Below are 17,030 nucleotides of genomic sequence, written 5' to 3'. Positions count from 1 at the left end.
AATGAACAGTTATTGTAAAAGGGTTAAACAAAGAAGGAAGGGTATTTCTAACAGATAAAATTCTGCGCAGTTACTAAAATCCAAATCAAGCTGAATAGCATAAGAAAATGTGCAAAGTATTTTATAATTATAAAAGTAATGAACTAAATTCAAATATAAATTAGATCTCTTGTGCTGGTGGTCCCATACAAACTTTAAGTTGTAAATATTTTAAAGGCTCAGTTTTATATGGCATCACAAAGATCATTTCACTCATATGCTTTAATTTACACCAAATTTTAATGTTAAAAGTAGGTATCAAATGATCCAATACCTGTGAACCCTAAGAAATACTAATGTGCATCAAAAGTAACTCAGGAGACAGTTTGCTAAGAGATGAATGCCCCATTAAATTTAAGCCACGTGTTTTTGGTACTTATGTATGTTCTCTAATGGTTTTTACACACCCTTAAACATCAGTTCTGACTTCAGAATTGTTATCGAGTACTCTCAAATAAATGTAACATAAAATAGTGAAAGTACATCTAGTTGGTATGATTCCTTCTCCACTGATTCCTACCTCAATGATTTTTCTATCTTTCAATACAATCAGCATCTCCATTAAAGAAAACTGAAACTATTAAAACAATTGAAACTAAATTAAACAACTAGAACTATTTTTGTTAATATTTTTGTTTAATTCATTAAAGAGCCTTAGAAAAATTTAGAATTTTTACAAGTTTATTGCTAAGTTAAAGAGAAAAGAAATAGTGGAAGAACACTTAAAAATGAGAGGCAACTGGGCATCCCAAGTCACATTAAACAGCCAGGGAGCTCACGCTTTTTTCATTACTTTGTAGCACGTATAGTATGTAGCACTTACAGAGAGCTAAAAACTAATGTAAGAGTAAATTAACTCCTTTGAAAGGCTAATGAGCTTTAAAGAAAGGGATTCTTTAAAGGTAATCCACAACGAATATATGGTAGAGCATAATACTGTACACAAATGTTTGGTGCCCCTCCTTGTAAGAAAATTACATATCCCCACCCTGCTGCACTTACGCATGCATGACCATAACCACCAAATACAATGTTAGTGGAAATGACATGTCAATTTTGGACAGAAGCTTTAAAAGCCATCCTTCTTTTTCCCTGCCTCTTCAAGAATTAGAAAGTTGCAGATTATATTTTCTAATGTTTCCTGTGACATTTCTGAGATGAAAATTTGCATATTAAGCAAAATGTAGTGGCAAACAAAGTATTACATTTAGAAATATCTTCCTCCAACATTTTCTATACCTACCTAAAGTAACGCAAGTCATTTTATACTATTAGCATACTTACTTCACATTTGTCTTCCCCCTAGAGATGTGATACTTGCACCTCTGGACTACATAGGGATTACATACGCTCAGAAAATCAGAACTGAAAATCAGAACAAGGGTTAAGAAATGTTCACTTGTTAAAATAGCTTCCACTTCTTCCTTTGGTCACGTTTATTCTAAAAATTATAGCAGAGTTCAAACTATTCCTCAAACTAAATTTTTAAATGTGATACAAAGTTTTATTTGTTCATTTCTTGCATTTGAAGGACTCTTCGATGACATACTGGGCGTAAGATTCTTTGCCATAGTCCTTAACTACTACCCAACCACAACCAATTTCTTTATAGGGTTTTCTCTCTCTGTCAATTTTACAGAGGCCTACCCATTCCCCTACAGTTGCTTGTTGTCATCAACCTTCATTAGGTTGATTTGGTGTTCAGCACCAAGGGCCTCCACCAACTTGACATACAAAGGCTCATCACAGTTGGATGCAAGCACACAAACATGAGCTTGCCACTTGTCTAAGGCTTGGCCAGCTTCACAAATTTCACTGCTAGGCTACTGTGGATGAGGGTGGTCTTCTGAACCTCCCATAAAGCAGTGGCAGTATTAACATCCATTACATCTCCAGCAACAATACCCTCTTCTACCACAGCAGTGGGTTCAGGTGAAGCCAAATCTTCAACACATCCAAGCTTTTGCTTATGCAAGACTTGTTGGTGGAAGGCAAAGAGCCATCAAACTAATTTATGTCTTCACTTTATAACTTAAAAATTATTACTATAATTAACTGAAAACTCTGACCCAAAAGTCTGGTATTATACCAGCAATTTTTCCTCACAATCTCATTATTCCTAGCTCTCATCATTAGATCTGATATATACTGTCTACTTTGTAGAACAATTACTGGTATTTTATGACTATGTAAAGTAACATTTTTTCCTGTCACTTTCTAAAATTCCAAGAGGTGTCTTTTACATCAATCTTTTAGACACTAAATTCATGTTGGTTTTTCTATACTCATAGTTTATTGATAAACCACGAATTATAATATTGCTTTCTAAGCATTCATCCTTTCAAGCCTAATATTAGATGGCTTTTATACTAAAAAGCAAACGAACAAGGCAACACAATTGTAGCTTGCGATGTTTAGATAACTAAAACTTGGAAGAAAAATTAAATTTCCTTAAAAGTAAAGCAAACTCAGCCGGGTGCAGTGGCTCACGCCTGTAATCCCAGTACTTTAAGAGGCCGAGGTGGGCGGATCACGAGGTCATTGAGACCATCTTGGCTAACACGGTGAAACCCTGTAACTACTAAAAATACAAAAAAATTAGCTGGGTGTGGTGGTGGGCGCCTACTTGGGAGGTTGACGCAGGAGAATGACGTGAACCCGGGAGGCGGAGGTTGCAGTGAGCCAAGATCGCGCCACTGCACTCCAGCCTGTGTGACAGAGCGAGACTCCGTCTCAATAAATACATAAATAAATAAATAAATGTAAAGCAAACTCAATTACTCATTTCACACATTTCTATGGTCAATGGGCTTAGAAATAAAATCATTAGAGATGAAAATATACCTTCTGGTATTAAATTGGAATTAGAGGTACTAGTAAAGATGGATAAATAGATGAATGATCAAGACATATGGGTAGAGGTATGGGATTGTATGTGCATGTAAGCATTTCCCAGCTTAATCCACTAAGCAGGCTCAGAAGCATTACCCCAGTAGCAATGACCACACCTCTACCCAGATCTTGATGCCCAAACACTATTCCTCTCTTAAAAAAAAAAAAAGTTTGCCTTGATAGGTAGCTGATTCCAAGACTAGGGTAGGGAAGGTTCAAAATGAGCTTGGAATATCTTATATCACAGAGTAAGGAAGTTCACAGAAAATAATGGAGACATGTCAAAATGACATAATACTGCAAACTAATCCATAATGACAAACCAGATCTATGATTGCCTAGGACTAAGGGCAGAAAAAGAAATGGACTGCAAAAAGCATGAGCAATATTTTGGGGGTGATGGAAATGTTCTGTACATGTTTTCATGGATTTATACATCTGTCAAACTCATCAGATTGTATATTTTAAAGGGACACAATTACTGTATGTAAATTGTACCTCCAATAAAGTTGACTTTTTTAAAAAGTCACAGAAGTTACCTTGAAGGAACTCTCACTAGCAAAATCATACAGTTATCAAAATAAATAATACTGGTAATAGACTGATACCTGATGAATAAAACAGAACCCTCTGATGAGCCCACACTGATAAATACATAAACCGGAGAAAGACAAAAGTTTGTCTTTAGAGTAAAATATTAAGTAATACACATAGAAGGGATGATGGTATTAGAAAATCACCATTTTTGGTAACCATCATAGTAACAACTATTTGAGTAAAATTTATCCATGATGCTAAAACTGTTGAGTGAAAGTCTGATGAGGAATAGCATATTTACATAGTCTCAAAGTATCTCTCCATGAAACACTTATTGTAAGAAGAAAAACAGTAAAAGTACAGTGGCAGCACAGCTGTAACTAAATTTATGATTAAATTTTAATCAAATTTAACATCCCCAATAAAAAAAGACATGGACACCATGTGCCTCCAAATATTACATAAGACATCGTCACTCCATAGTCCTGCCAATAAAATATAATCTGAATCTAATCATGAGGAATCGGGGGAAAAAGACAAACAAACAAACAAATGGGGCCATTCCACAAAATAATCAGCCTAAACTCTTCAAAAATGTCAATGTCAAGAAAACAAAAAACAGAAAAAGGCTAGAAGACTATTACAGATTTAAGAAACACTGGAAATAAATTCCATGTATAATCCTTTTCAGGACTGGGAGGAAAAAAACAGCTATAAAGAACATGCTGGAATAATAAAAAAAAGGTGTATGGAGATTACAGAATAAACAATATTATCAATATTAAATGTCTTGATTTTGATAACTGTACTGTAGTTACATAAGAGACTAACTTTATTCTTGGGAAATACACATTGAAATACTAAAGAATAAAGATAAAATACAGATATCTAGATAGAAGGTGAATGATAAGTTAGCAAATGGGGTGAAATGTTAAAAATTCGTAAATCAGGGTAAAGGATCTAAGAGAGGTCTTTGTTTTATTTTTATAATTTTTCTCCAAGTTAAAAAAAAGTTTCAAAATAAATCACTGTACTGGAGTTAGAAGGATGGACCCAGAGATGAGTAATATAATAGTATGGAAATGTATAGAGGAATGGGATCCAAAAGCCCAAATTCTTAGAAGTCCTGGTTCTAACAAAAATAAATATATAAAATAATATGTAAATCATGACTTAGGTTTCTCTACTATAAAATGAAGGGGTTGTACTAGGACTTTCTAGCTCTATATCTAGATTTTTATGAACTTGCTCTATTGCTTCATGCTCTTTTCTACCACAGCAAAAGCCTGACTCTTCTGCAGGCTCCATACAAGAATTAGGTGGGAAAAAGCTGCATGAATCATTCATGTACAAACAAACCATAATTATGGATGAAGACAAAAGTGTCAAGGAGCTTAATAAAGTCTAAAATGGTGGAATGAGAAACAGAGCACATTAACTTTAGTAATAATCTTAATGATTTCTAGAAATCTTTTATCAATTATGTTTAATAGAATCATCTATTAAATTTTAAAATATTATCTGACTTTTTTCTCTAAAATTAATTTTCTTGGCCAGATGTGGTGGCTCACATCTGTAATCCCAGCACTTTGGGAGGCTTCAACTGCTTGAAGCCAAGAGTCCAAAACCTGTCTGGTCAACATAGTGAGGCCCCATCTCTTAAAAAAAAATGTTTTTAATTAGCTGTGCATCATGATGCATACCTACAGTCCCAGCTACTTGGCAGGCTGAGGCAGAAGGATCACTTGAGCTCAGGAGGTTAAGCTGTAGTGAGCTATGATCATGCTACTGCACACCAGGCTCGGCAACAAAGTGAAACCCTGCCTGTTAAAAAAAAAAAAAAAAAATTGCACGAAACAGAGAGACCGTTAGCCAGACTAATAAAGAAAAGAGAGAAGAATCAAATAGACATGGATAAAAAATGATAAAGGGGAGATCACCACTGATCCCACAGAAACACAAACTACCATCAGAGAATACTATAAACACCTCTACGCAAATAAACTAGAAAATATAGAAGAAATGGATAAATTCCTGGACACATAAACCTTCCCAAGACTAAAACAGGAAGAAGCCAAATCCCTGAATAGACCAATAACAAGTTTTGAAATTGAGGCAGTAATTAATAGCCTACCAACCAAAAAAAAGCTCAGCTCTAGATGGATTCATAGCCGAACTCTACCAGAGGTACAAAGAGGAGCTGGTACCATTCCTTCTGAAACTATTCCAAACAACAACAAAAAAAGGACTCCTCCGTAACTCATTTTATGATGCCAGCATCATCCTGATACCAAAACTTGGCACGGACACAACAAAAAAAAGAAAATTTCAGGCCAATATCCCTGATGAACATCAATGCGAAAATCCTCAATAAAATACTGGCAAACCAAATCCAGCAGCACATTAAAAAGCTTATCCACCACAATCAAGTCAGCTTCATCCCTGGGATGCAAGGCTGGTTCAACATATGCAAATCAATAAACATAATCCATCACATAAACAGAATCAATGACAAAAACTGCATAATTATCTCAATAGATGCAGAAAAGGCCTTCGATAAAATTCAACACTGCTTCATGCTAAAAAACTCAACAAACTAGGTATTGATGGAACATATCTCAATATAATAAGAGCTATTTATGACAAAGTCATAGCCATTATCATACTGAATGGGCAAAAGTTGGAAGCATTCCCTGTGAAAACCGGCACAAGACAAGGATGTCCTCTCTCATCACTCCTATTCAACATGGTATTGGAAGTTCTGGCCAGGGCAATCAGGCAAGAGAAAGAAAGGGCATTCAGCTAGGAAGAGAGGAAGTAAAATTATCTCTGTTTGCAGATGACATGATTGTATATTTAGAAAACACCATCATCTCAGCCCAAAATCTCCTTAAGCTGATAAGCAACTTCAGCAAAGTCTCAGGATACAAAATCAATGAGCAAAAATCACAAGCATTCCTATACACCAATAAAAGACAAACAGAGGGCCAAATCATGAGCAAACTCCCATTCACAATGGCTACAAAAGGAATAAAATACCTAGGAATCCAACTTACAAGGGATGTGAAGGACCTCTTCAAGGAGAACTACAAACCACTGCTCAAGGAAATAAGAGAGGACCCAAACAAATGGAAAAACATTCCATGCTAATGGATAGGAATAATCAATATCATGAAAATGGCCATACTGCCCAAAGTAATTTATAGATTTGATGCTATTCCCATCAAGCTACCACTGACTTTCTTCACAGAATTAGAAAAAAACTACTTTATGTTTCATATGGAACCAAAAAAGAGCCCACATTGCCAAGACAATCCTAAGCAAAAAGAACAAAGCTGGAGGCATCATGCTACCTGACTTCAAACTATACTACAAGGCTACAGTAACCAAAACAGCATGGTCTGGTACCAAAAAAGATATATAGACCAATGGAACAGAACAGAGGCCTCAGAAATAACACCACACATCTACAACCACCTGATCTTTGACAAACCTGACAAAAACCAGCAATGGGGAAAGGATTCCCTATTTAATAAATGTTGTTGGAAAAACTGGCTAGCTGTATACAGAAAACTGAAACTGGACCCCTTCCTTATACCTTATACAAAAATTAACTCAAGATGGATTACAGATTTAAACGTAAGACCTAAAACCATAAAAACCCTAGAAGAAAACCTAGTCAATACCATTCAGGACATAGGCATGGGCAAAGACTTCATGACTAAAACACCAAAAGCAATGGCAACAAAAGCCAAAATTGACAAATGGGATCTAATTAAACTAAAGAGCTTCGGCACAGCAAAAGAAACTATCATCAGAGTGAACAGGCAACCTACAGAATGGGAGAAAATTTTTGCAATCTATCCATCTGACAAAGAGCTAATATCCAGAATCTACAAAGAACTTAAACATATTTACAAGAAAAAAAAAAAAAACTCCATCAAAAGGTGGGCAAAGGCTATGAACAGACACTTTTCAAAAGACGACATTTATGCGGCCAACAAACCTATGAAAAAAAGCTCACCATCACTGGCCATCAGAGAAATGCAAATCAAAATCACGATGAGCTACCATCTCATGCCAGTTAGAATGGCGATCATTAAAAAGTCAGGAAACAACAGATGCTGGAGAGGATGTGGAGAAATGGGAACACCTGTACACTGTTCACGGGAGTGTAAATTAGTTCAACCATTGTGGAAGACAATGTGGCAATTCCTCAAGGATCTAGAACTAGAAATACCATTTGACCCAGCAATCCTATTACTGGGTATACACCCAAAGGATTATAAATAATTCTACTATAAAGACACACACACACATATGTTTAATGCAGCACTATTTAACAACAGCAAAGACTTGGAACCCACCCAAATGCCAATCGATGTTAGATTGGATAAAGAAAATGTGGCACATATACACCATGGAATACTATGCAGCCATAAAAAAGAATGAGTTCAGCTGGGCACAGTGGCTCCCGCCTGTAATCTCAGCACTTTGGGAGGCCGAGGCGTGTGGATCACCTGAGGTCGGGGGTTCAAGACCAGCTTGACCAACATGGAGAAACCCCATCTCTACTAAAAATACAAAAAATTAGCTGGGCGTGGTGGCACATGCCTGTAATCCCAACTGCTTGGGAGGCTGAGGCAGGAGAATCGCTCCTAGTCTGGGCAACAAGAGTTAAACTTTGTCTCAAAAAACAAAATTAAAAAAAAAAAGAATGAGTTCATGTCCTTTGGAGGGTCATGAATGAAGCTGGAAACCATCATTCTCATGAACAGAAAAGCAAACACTACATGTTCTCATTCATAAATGGGAGGTGAACAGTAAGAACATATGGGCACAGGGAGGGGAACATCACACACCGGGGCCTATCAGGGGGAGGGGGGTGAGGGGGGCGCAAGGGGAAGGATAGCATTAGGAGAAATACCTAATGTAGATGACGGGTTGATAGGTGCAAACCACCATGGCACATGTATACCTATGTAACAAACCTGCACGTTCAGTACATGTATCCCAGAACTTAAAGTATAATTAAAAAAAAAAAAAAAAGAAAAGGAAAAAAAAATTGCATTCTTTTACCACTGAGTGCACTGAGGTTTATAAACCCATTTGCTATACCAACTTTATGTTTTCCTACTTAATTTCAAAATTTTTACTCTTCCATATGTAAGACACTGAAAGTACTGATAAAAGAAAGCAAGAAAAAAAAAACTAATAGCTCACAACAACCTATGACGCTGCAAACATTATGCTTAGAAACTGTCAATGCACGAAACAGCCCTTTCACGTTAAAAAAAAAATTATTCCTGTTTTGCAAACAAAAAAACTACAGTTAAGCAAAGACAACCAAGGCACAGTTTTCTGCCATCACGGAAGACTAACACCTTAGTATGATCTTGTATGTAAAGATAGATTAAAACATATAAGTGTAGCATTGGGACACAATGACAAGTATTCAGTACATAAGCAGTCTGAGCAATCTTACAACTTCATCTCATTATTTTTAATATTTAGTTTTCATATATTTGCATTAAGCCGGTTCTAAAAACAAAAACCAATGATACTGGCAACCTTAAGGTTATGATCTACTCCTAATACCTATAAATCCAACTAATCATAAAATTGCCAAATAATATTAGCTAATGCAAATCCCCGAAAATTCTCACTACATATACATTTCCATCGAGAAAAACATATTCTTATCCCTACATTTCCACTTGTAAATTCAAGACCTCTTTTGGAAAACAAAAAAAACTCTCCTAATTCCAACAGCAATTCTTAAAAGTAACAAAATTTAAATCTAGCTTTGGGGTAAAATTTTGTCAATCATACTCTTAAATGGTGAGCAAATTAAGAAGAATTTGTGGGTGAGTCTCTAAATAACTAACATCACAAAATAACTAAATGACATTTGGCTGCCCAGAATAAACAAAATCTATTATGTGAATACAGAAAATAACAAAAGTAAGGTTGTTTCTTATTTCTAAAATTTCTGAAGTATTAAACAGGCCATTTGCAAACTCAGCAGACCAAAAATGCATATAAATATATCTTTACTAGGAAGAAATCAGATAACCTAAGATGAATCATTTTAAACTCAGGGTACTAAAGATTTACCTAAGGTTAAAGCAGAAATCAGAGAAAGAAAAATATTAAATTATTGGACTAGATATTTAATTCAGTTAGGTCCCCATCATAATTTGCTTTTTTAAAGTAGACTAATTGAAGCTGACTCAAAGTTCAAAAGAAAGAACAGAGTTTCAAAAAATACAAAATAAAACACTAGATGCTATATAAAGTTTATTTAAATCAATTAAAAATTTTAAAAAATAGTCTACCTGAATCGTCCTGGGCTTCATGAGTTTCACCATCATCTGTTACCTCTAATTCTTTCACAAAATTTGAGGGAAACAGTCCCAACTTGTTATTCAGGGTTCCACTCCACCAGCCTTCTTCTACCTGAAAAAGTTCACAATTCAAAAGCAAAAACAACTTCTGTTAAGTGAAAATCGTCACCCTATGGGAAAATTAAGCTGCAAAAGCAAACAGGCACAAAATTAGCACTATGAAATAAACCCTTTAAAATTTAAAACACAATGAAGAAAATATATTTTAAGTGGATTAAATTTTAGTGTATTACTCATATATGGGATTAATCATACATCAACAGTACTTCGCACATTTACAATGACAATTTGTAATCAATCGCAATCTATGAAGTACTTTTCATGAAAGTATCAGATAACCATATATACTGTATTAACAGCAAGAAGTACATAGCTTCTGGAATGTCACTCTTGTAAACACTACTAAGGCTTGATTTGTATATTATTTAAAGTATTTGGAAATTTTTTATTTGAAAAAAATTTGATGATTCTAAGAATATAACTTCCTGGCCAGGCACGGTGGCTCAGGTCTGTAATCCCAGCACTTTGAGAGCCCAAGGTAGGCAGACTGCTTGACCAGGAGTTTGAGATCAGCCTGGGCAACGTGGTGAAATCCCATCTCTAAAAAAAATACGAAAGTTAGCTGGGCATGGTGGTTCGCGCCTGTAGTCCCAGCTACTGGGGAGGCTGAGCCCAATTGTGGCACTGGACTCCAGCCCAGGTGACAGAGGAGACCCTGTCTCAAAAAAAGAAAAAAGAAAATAAACATAACTTCCTAAATGGCACAGAAAATTGCTAAACCTATTACTTGAGCAGTGATTCTTAGCTTAAGTATAATAATTTCCTACTTTTAAAAACCCAGATGTCAAGCTCCACTAAACACCTTCCTCCAAACAGATATATCCTCATGAATCAAACACTTCAGAAAAACATTTACACTTACCAATAAGATTACTCAATTTCTATGAAATTTTTAATATTTAATAACTTTAAAAATGTATAGTTTCTGATATGGATATTAAGGAGTGCTCACAGGTTAAAAACAATTTTTTAGGCCAGGTTCACTGGCTCTTGCCTATAATCCCAGCGCTTTGGAAGGCCAAGGCAGGCAGATCACCTGAGGTCAGGAGTTTGAGACCAGCCTGGCCAACATAGTGAAATCCCACCTCTACTAAAAATACAAAAAAAAAAAAAAAAAAAAAAAATTCACTAGGTGTGGTGGTGCACACCTGTAGTCCCATCTAGCTGGGAAGCTGAGGCAGGAGAATCAGTTGAACCTGGGAAGCGGAGGTTGCAGTGAGCTGAGATGGCGCCACTGCTCTCCATCCTGGGCAACATAGTGAGACTCCAGCTCAAAAAAAAAAAAACAAAATTTAAAAAAGAGTAAACTATTCACTGTCAAATTTTACTTAGCAGCACTACACACAATATAGCTAGAAAAAGATTTATTTCTTGTTTAAAATATTTTTAATTGTTTTCCATCTCATAAAAGGTAGGCAACCTTTTACTAAGTTAGTCATCTAACAGCCAATATGTGTTAGTCACAGTGTTAACTACTAGGGAAAGATTCAAACTTGCATATGAGAAATCCCTGTTCTTCAATAAAACACTTAAAGAAAAAATCAATAAGCAGATGGCTACAATACAATTTAAGAGGTACTATAACTAACATATGAACAAAATGCTGTTAGGAGCAAACAGAAAGGGCTTGAAAGAATAAAAAAAAAATGCTCCCCCCCAAAAGGAAATGACAAAAACAATGTGATATTAAAGGCTGAATAAAAGTAAAACTATAGTAACTTAAAAATAAATGATTTATTCATGGAAGGTATAGCTAAAATAAAAATGGGTGCTAGAATACAAGCTGTTTGGGGGAGAAAGGGAAGGCAGTAAAGCATGAAGTGACCAGAATTTTTATCAGACTTAAAGAAGCACCAAAGAACTGGAAGTGATCCAAACTAGATGTAGACCAAACTAGAATAAATACAACAAACGGAGAGAAACATCAGCTGTCTATTACCTATACCTGGAACCCCAACTGGCAACAACTGAGGAGTTAGGTTTAGGAGGCAGAGTAGTACAGTGGTAAAAAAATACACAAAAATAGACTGCATGACAATCTGCAATTGCAAAAATATAGAACCCGCCCAAATGCCCATCAATCAACAAGTGAATTTAAAAATATGTGGTGTGTATATATACACACACATCATGGAATACTACTCAGCCATAAAAAGGAACAAAATAATGGCATTTGCAGCAACATGGATGGAACTGGAGGCTATTATTCTAAGTGAAGTAACTCAAGAATGGAAAACCAATCATCGTATGTTCTCACTCATATGTGGGAGCTAAGCTATGAGGAAGCAAAGGCTTAAGAATGATACATTGGACTTTGGGGACTTGGGGGGAAAGAATGGGGGTGGCAAGGGATAAAAGACTACACATTAGGTACAGTGTGCACTGCTCAGGTGATGGGTGCACCAAAATCTCAGGAATCACCACTAAAGAATGTATTCATCTAACCAAACACCACCTGTTCCCCAAACACCTATTGAAATAAAAAAATTAAAAAATTTAAAAAAAACAGACTGCAAGGACTGAAATTCAGACTTAGATGGCTGTAAGAAGATCTCTCATCCTACAATTGTGACCTTGACACTCCTCCCACCAAGAAGTGGTGGTCTCTGTTCCCTACCCCTTAAATCTTGATGGCTTACGACTCACTTGTAACCAACAGATGCTAGTTTGTAAAGGGCAATAAAGCTAATATGTGCTGAAATGCTTGCACTTAAGAGCCGTGAACTGCCATATAGTAAGTCCGACGACCTTGAGATGCCTACACTGTAAGAGAGTCAACCCAAATGGAAAGGCTAACATAATGGCTCTCCAATTGGCAGTTACAGTCTTCAAGGTTTCTAGGCACCAGATATGTGAGTGAAAAAACCTTCCTATTATTCCAGGACACCCCACCATTGAATCTTTCCAGCTAAGGGCCCCACACAAGCCATTTGGGCTATACCCCATCTGAATTCTTGACTCACAGGCATAATACAACCGTTATTCTTTGCCACCAAGTTTGGGATGGCTTGGTATGCAACAACAGTAACTAAAACAGCCACCACTTATCTTCCTTGATTTAGTCTCTTCCTATGTACAATGGGGATAAAAATACCTATCTTCTTAGGTTTTTTAAAACTTTCAAGGATATAATAAATGTGAAACTCTCAGCACAATGCTTCAACCATAACATAAGCTCAAGAAATGTTAACTATTATTACTGCAACCAAGTGAAAATAAAATAGAACAGCCTTTGTATAAACACAATCTAAGTTTGTATAAACATAAAAACACTAGTGATAAATTACATTACAGGGTGTTTTGACACAAAATCAATCTGTGCTATAATACATGGTATCAAAACATACATGTTGAAAACATGACCTTCAACTGTGAAATTAAACTTTAATACTCCTTCAAATGATAAAAGCAGAGATGTAAAAAATTATTTTAAATTTTTTTTTCTTTTTTTTATTTCCATAGGTTATTGGGGAACCGGTGGTGTTAGGTTACATAAGTAAGTTCTTTAGTGGTGATTTGTGAGATTCTGGTGCACCCATCACCTGAGGAGTATACACTGCACCCAATTTGTAGTCTTTTATCCCTCATCCCCTTCCCACCCTCTTCCCCCGAGGCCCCAAAGTCCATTGTGTCATTCTTATGCCTTTGCATCCTCATAGCTTAGCTCCCACTTACAAGTGAGAACATATGATGTTTGGTTTTTCATTCCTGAGTTACTTCACTTAAAATAATAGTCTCCAATCTCATCCAGGTAGCTGCGAATGCCATGAAATCATTCCTTTTTATGGCTGAGTAGTATTCCAGCACATATATACATACCACGGTTTCTTTATCCACTCATTGACTGATGGGCATTAAGGTTGGTTCCACATTTTTGCAATTGTGAACTGTGCTGCTATAAACATGTGTGTGCAACTATCTTTTTCATATAATGAGTTCTTTTCCTCTGGGATTGTAGTGGGATTGCTGGATCAAGTGATAGTTCTACTTTTAGTTCTCAAATGAATCTCCACACTGTTTTCCATAGTGGCTGTACTAGTTTACATTCCCACCAGAAGTATAGAACTGTTCCCTGTTCACCACATTCACACAAACATCTATTTTTTTTTTAATGGTCATTCTTGCAGGAGTAAGGTGGTATCACATTGTGGTTTTGATTTGCATTTCCCTGATAATTGGTGATGTTGAACATGTCTTCATGTTTGTTGGCCATTGCATATCTTCTTTTGAGAACTGTCTATTAGGTCTTTAGCCCACTTTTTGATGGGATTGTTTTTTTCTTGCTAATTTGTTGGAGTTCATTGTAGATTCTGGATAGTAGTCCTTTGTCAGATGTATAGATTGTGAAGATTTTCTCCCACTCTGTGGTCTGTTTACTCTGCTGACTGTTTCTTTTGCCATACAAAAGCTCTTTAGTTTAATTAGGTCATAGCTATTTATCTGTTTTTAGTGCATTTGCTTTTGGGTTCTTGGTCACAAAATCCTTGCCAAAGTCAATGTCTAGAAGGGTTTTTCCAATGTTATCTTCAAGAACTGTTACAGTTTCAGGTCTTAGATTTAAGTCCTTGATCCATCTTGATTTGATTTTTGTATAAGGTGAGAGATGAGGATCCAGTTTCATTCTCCTGCATGTGGCTAGCCAATTATTCCAGTGCCATTTGTTGAAAAGGATGTCCTTTCCCCACTTTTTGTTTTTGTTTGCTTTGTCGAAGATCAGTTAGCTGTAAGTATTTGGGTTTATTTCTGGGTTCTCTATTCTGTTCCATTGGTCAATATGCCTATTTTTATACCAGTACCATGCTGTTTTGGTGACTGTGGCCTTATAGTATAATTTGAAATCAGGTAATGTGAGGTCTCCAGATTTGTTCTTTTTGCTTAGTCCTGCTTTGGCTATGCAGGCTCTTTTTGGTTCCATATGAATTTTAGAATTGTTTTTTCTAATTCTGTGAAGAATGATGGTGGTATGTATAGGAATTCTGTTGAATCTGTAGATTGCTTTTAGCAGTATGGTCATTTTCACAATACTGATTCTACCCATCCGTGACCATGAGATGTGTTTCCATTTGTTTTTGTCGTCTATTTCTTTCAGCAGGTTTTTGTAGTTTTTCTTGTTGAGGTCTTTTGACTCCTTGGTTAGGTATATTCCTAAGCATCTTATTTTTTTTTTTTTTTTTTTTGCAGCTATTGTAAAAGGCGTTGAGTTCTTGATTTGATTCTCCACATGACTGCTGTTGGTATATAAAAGAGCTACTGATTTGTGTACATTAATTGTGTACCCGGAAACTTTGCTGAATTCTTTTCTCAGTTCTAGGAGCTTTCTGAAGGAGTCTTTAGGGATTTCAAGGTAAACGATCATATCATCAGCAAACAGTGACAGTGTGACTTCCTCTTTACCAAGTTGGATGCCCTTTATTTCTTTCTCTTGTCTAATTGCTCTGGCTAGGACTTCCAGTACTATGTTGAAGAGGAGTGGTGAGAGCAGGCATCCTTGTCTTGTTCCAGTTCTCAGAGGGAATGCTTTCAATTTTTCCCCATTCAGTATTATGTTGGCTGTGGTTTTGCATAGACGGCTTTTATTACACTGATGTATGTCCCTTATATGCCAATTTTGCTGAGAGTTTTAATCATAAAGTGATGCTGGATTTTGTCTAATGTTTTTTCTGCATCTATTGAGATGATCATGTGATTTTTGTTTTTAATTCTGTTTATGTGACATATCATATTTACTGACTTGCGTATGTTAAACTATCCCTGCATCCCTGATATGAAACCCACTTGATCGTGGTGTATTATCTTTTTGATATGTTGTTGGATTCAGTTAGCTAGTACTTTGTTTAGGATTTTAGCATCTATATTCATCAGGAATATTGGTCTGTAGTTTTCTTTTTTTGTTATGTCCTTTCCTGGTCTTGGTATTAGGATGATACTAGCTTCACAGAATGATTTAGGGAGGGTTCCCTCTCTCTATCTTGTGAAACAGTGTCAACAGGATTGGTACCAATTATTTGAATGTCTGGTAGAATTCTGGTGTGAATTCGTCTGGTCCTGGATCTTTTTTGTTGTTGTTGGTAATTTTTTAATTACCACTTCAACCTCGCTGCCTGTTATTGTTCTGTTCAGCATATGTAATTCTTCCTGATTTAATCAAGGAGGATTGTATCTTTACAGGAATTCAGCCATCTCCTCTAGGTTTTCTAGTTTATGTGCAGAAAAAAGTTCACAGTAGCCTTGAATGACCTTTTGTATTTCTGTGGTGTCAACTGTAATATCTCCTGCTTTGTTTCTAACTGAGCTTATTTGGATTTTCTCTCTTCTTTTCTTGGTTAACCTTGTTAATGGTCTATCAATCTTATTTATCTTTTCAAAGAACCAGTTTTTTGTTTCATTTATCTTTTGTATTTTCTGTTTGTTCCAATTTCACTTAGTTCTGCTCTGATCTTGGTTATTTCCTTTCTTCTGCCGAGTTTGGGTTTGGTTTGTTCTTCTTTTTCTCGTTTCTTGAGGTGCCCTTAAATGGTCTGTGCTCTTTCACAGTCTTTGATGTAGGCATCAACTTTTAACTTTTAAGTTGACTTTTAAGTTAAAAGTTAGGTTATTAACTTTCCTCTTAGCACTGCCTTTGCTATCCCAGAGGTTTTGAAAGGTGTGTCACTATTGTCGTTCAGTAAGAAGAATTTTTTAATTTCCATCTTGATTTCATTTCTGACCCAATGATCATTCAGGAGTAAGTTATTTAATTTCCACGTATTTGCATGGTTTTCAAGGCTCCTTTTGGAGTTGATTTCCAGTTTTATTTCGCTGTGGTGTGAGAGAGTGCTTGATATAATTTCAATTTTCTTAAATTTACTGAGGTTCACTTTGTGGCCTATCATATGGTCTATCTTGGAGAAAGAACATGCACTGTTGAATAGAATGTATATTCTGTGGTGGTTGTGTAGAATGTTGTATAAGTATTTGTTAACTCCATTTGTTCCAGGGTATAGTTTAAATTCACTGTTTCTTTGTTGACTTTGTCTTGATGACCTGTCTAATGCTGTCAGTGGAGTATTGAAGTCCCCCACTATTATTGTCTTACTATCTCATTTCTTAGGCCTA

General features: G+C 36.0%; 1 protein-coding gene and 1 pseudogene across 4 annotated transcripts in view; both read right to left on the bottom strand.

Moving 5' to 3' along the window:
* CD2AP (CD2 associated protein) overlaps positions 1-17,030 on the bottom strand; it is a 149,475-nt gene that overhangs the window by 62,691 nt on the left and 69,754 nt on the right. For all 4 annotated transcript variants that reach the window (NM_012120.3, XM_005248976.2, XM_017010641.2 and 1 more), the window contains one exon: positions 9,807-9,927. In NM_012120.3, the coding sequence (NP_036252.1) occupies positions 9,807-9,927 (121 nt within the window). The remainder of the gene's footprint in view (positions 1-9,806; positions 9,928-17,030) is intronic.
* Positions 1,530-2,038, bottom strand: RPS12P14 (ribosomal protein S12 pseudogene 14; annotated as a pseudogene).

The sequence above is a fragment of the Homo sapiens genome, chromosome 6, assembly GCF_000001405.40.
Source record: "Homo sapiens chromosome 6, GRCh38.p14 Primary Assembly".
Classification (NCBI taxonomy): domain Eukaryota; kingdom Metazoa; phylum Chordata; class Mammalia; order Primates; family Hominidae; genus Homo; species Homo sapiens.
The sequence above is the reverse complement of the archived record's forward strand: the minus strand, read 5'-3'. Positions and strand labels throughout refer to the sequence as shown.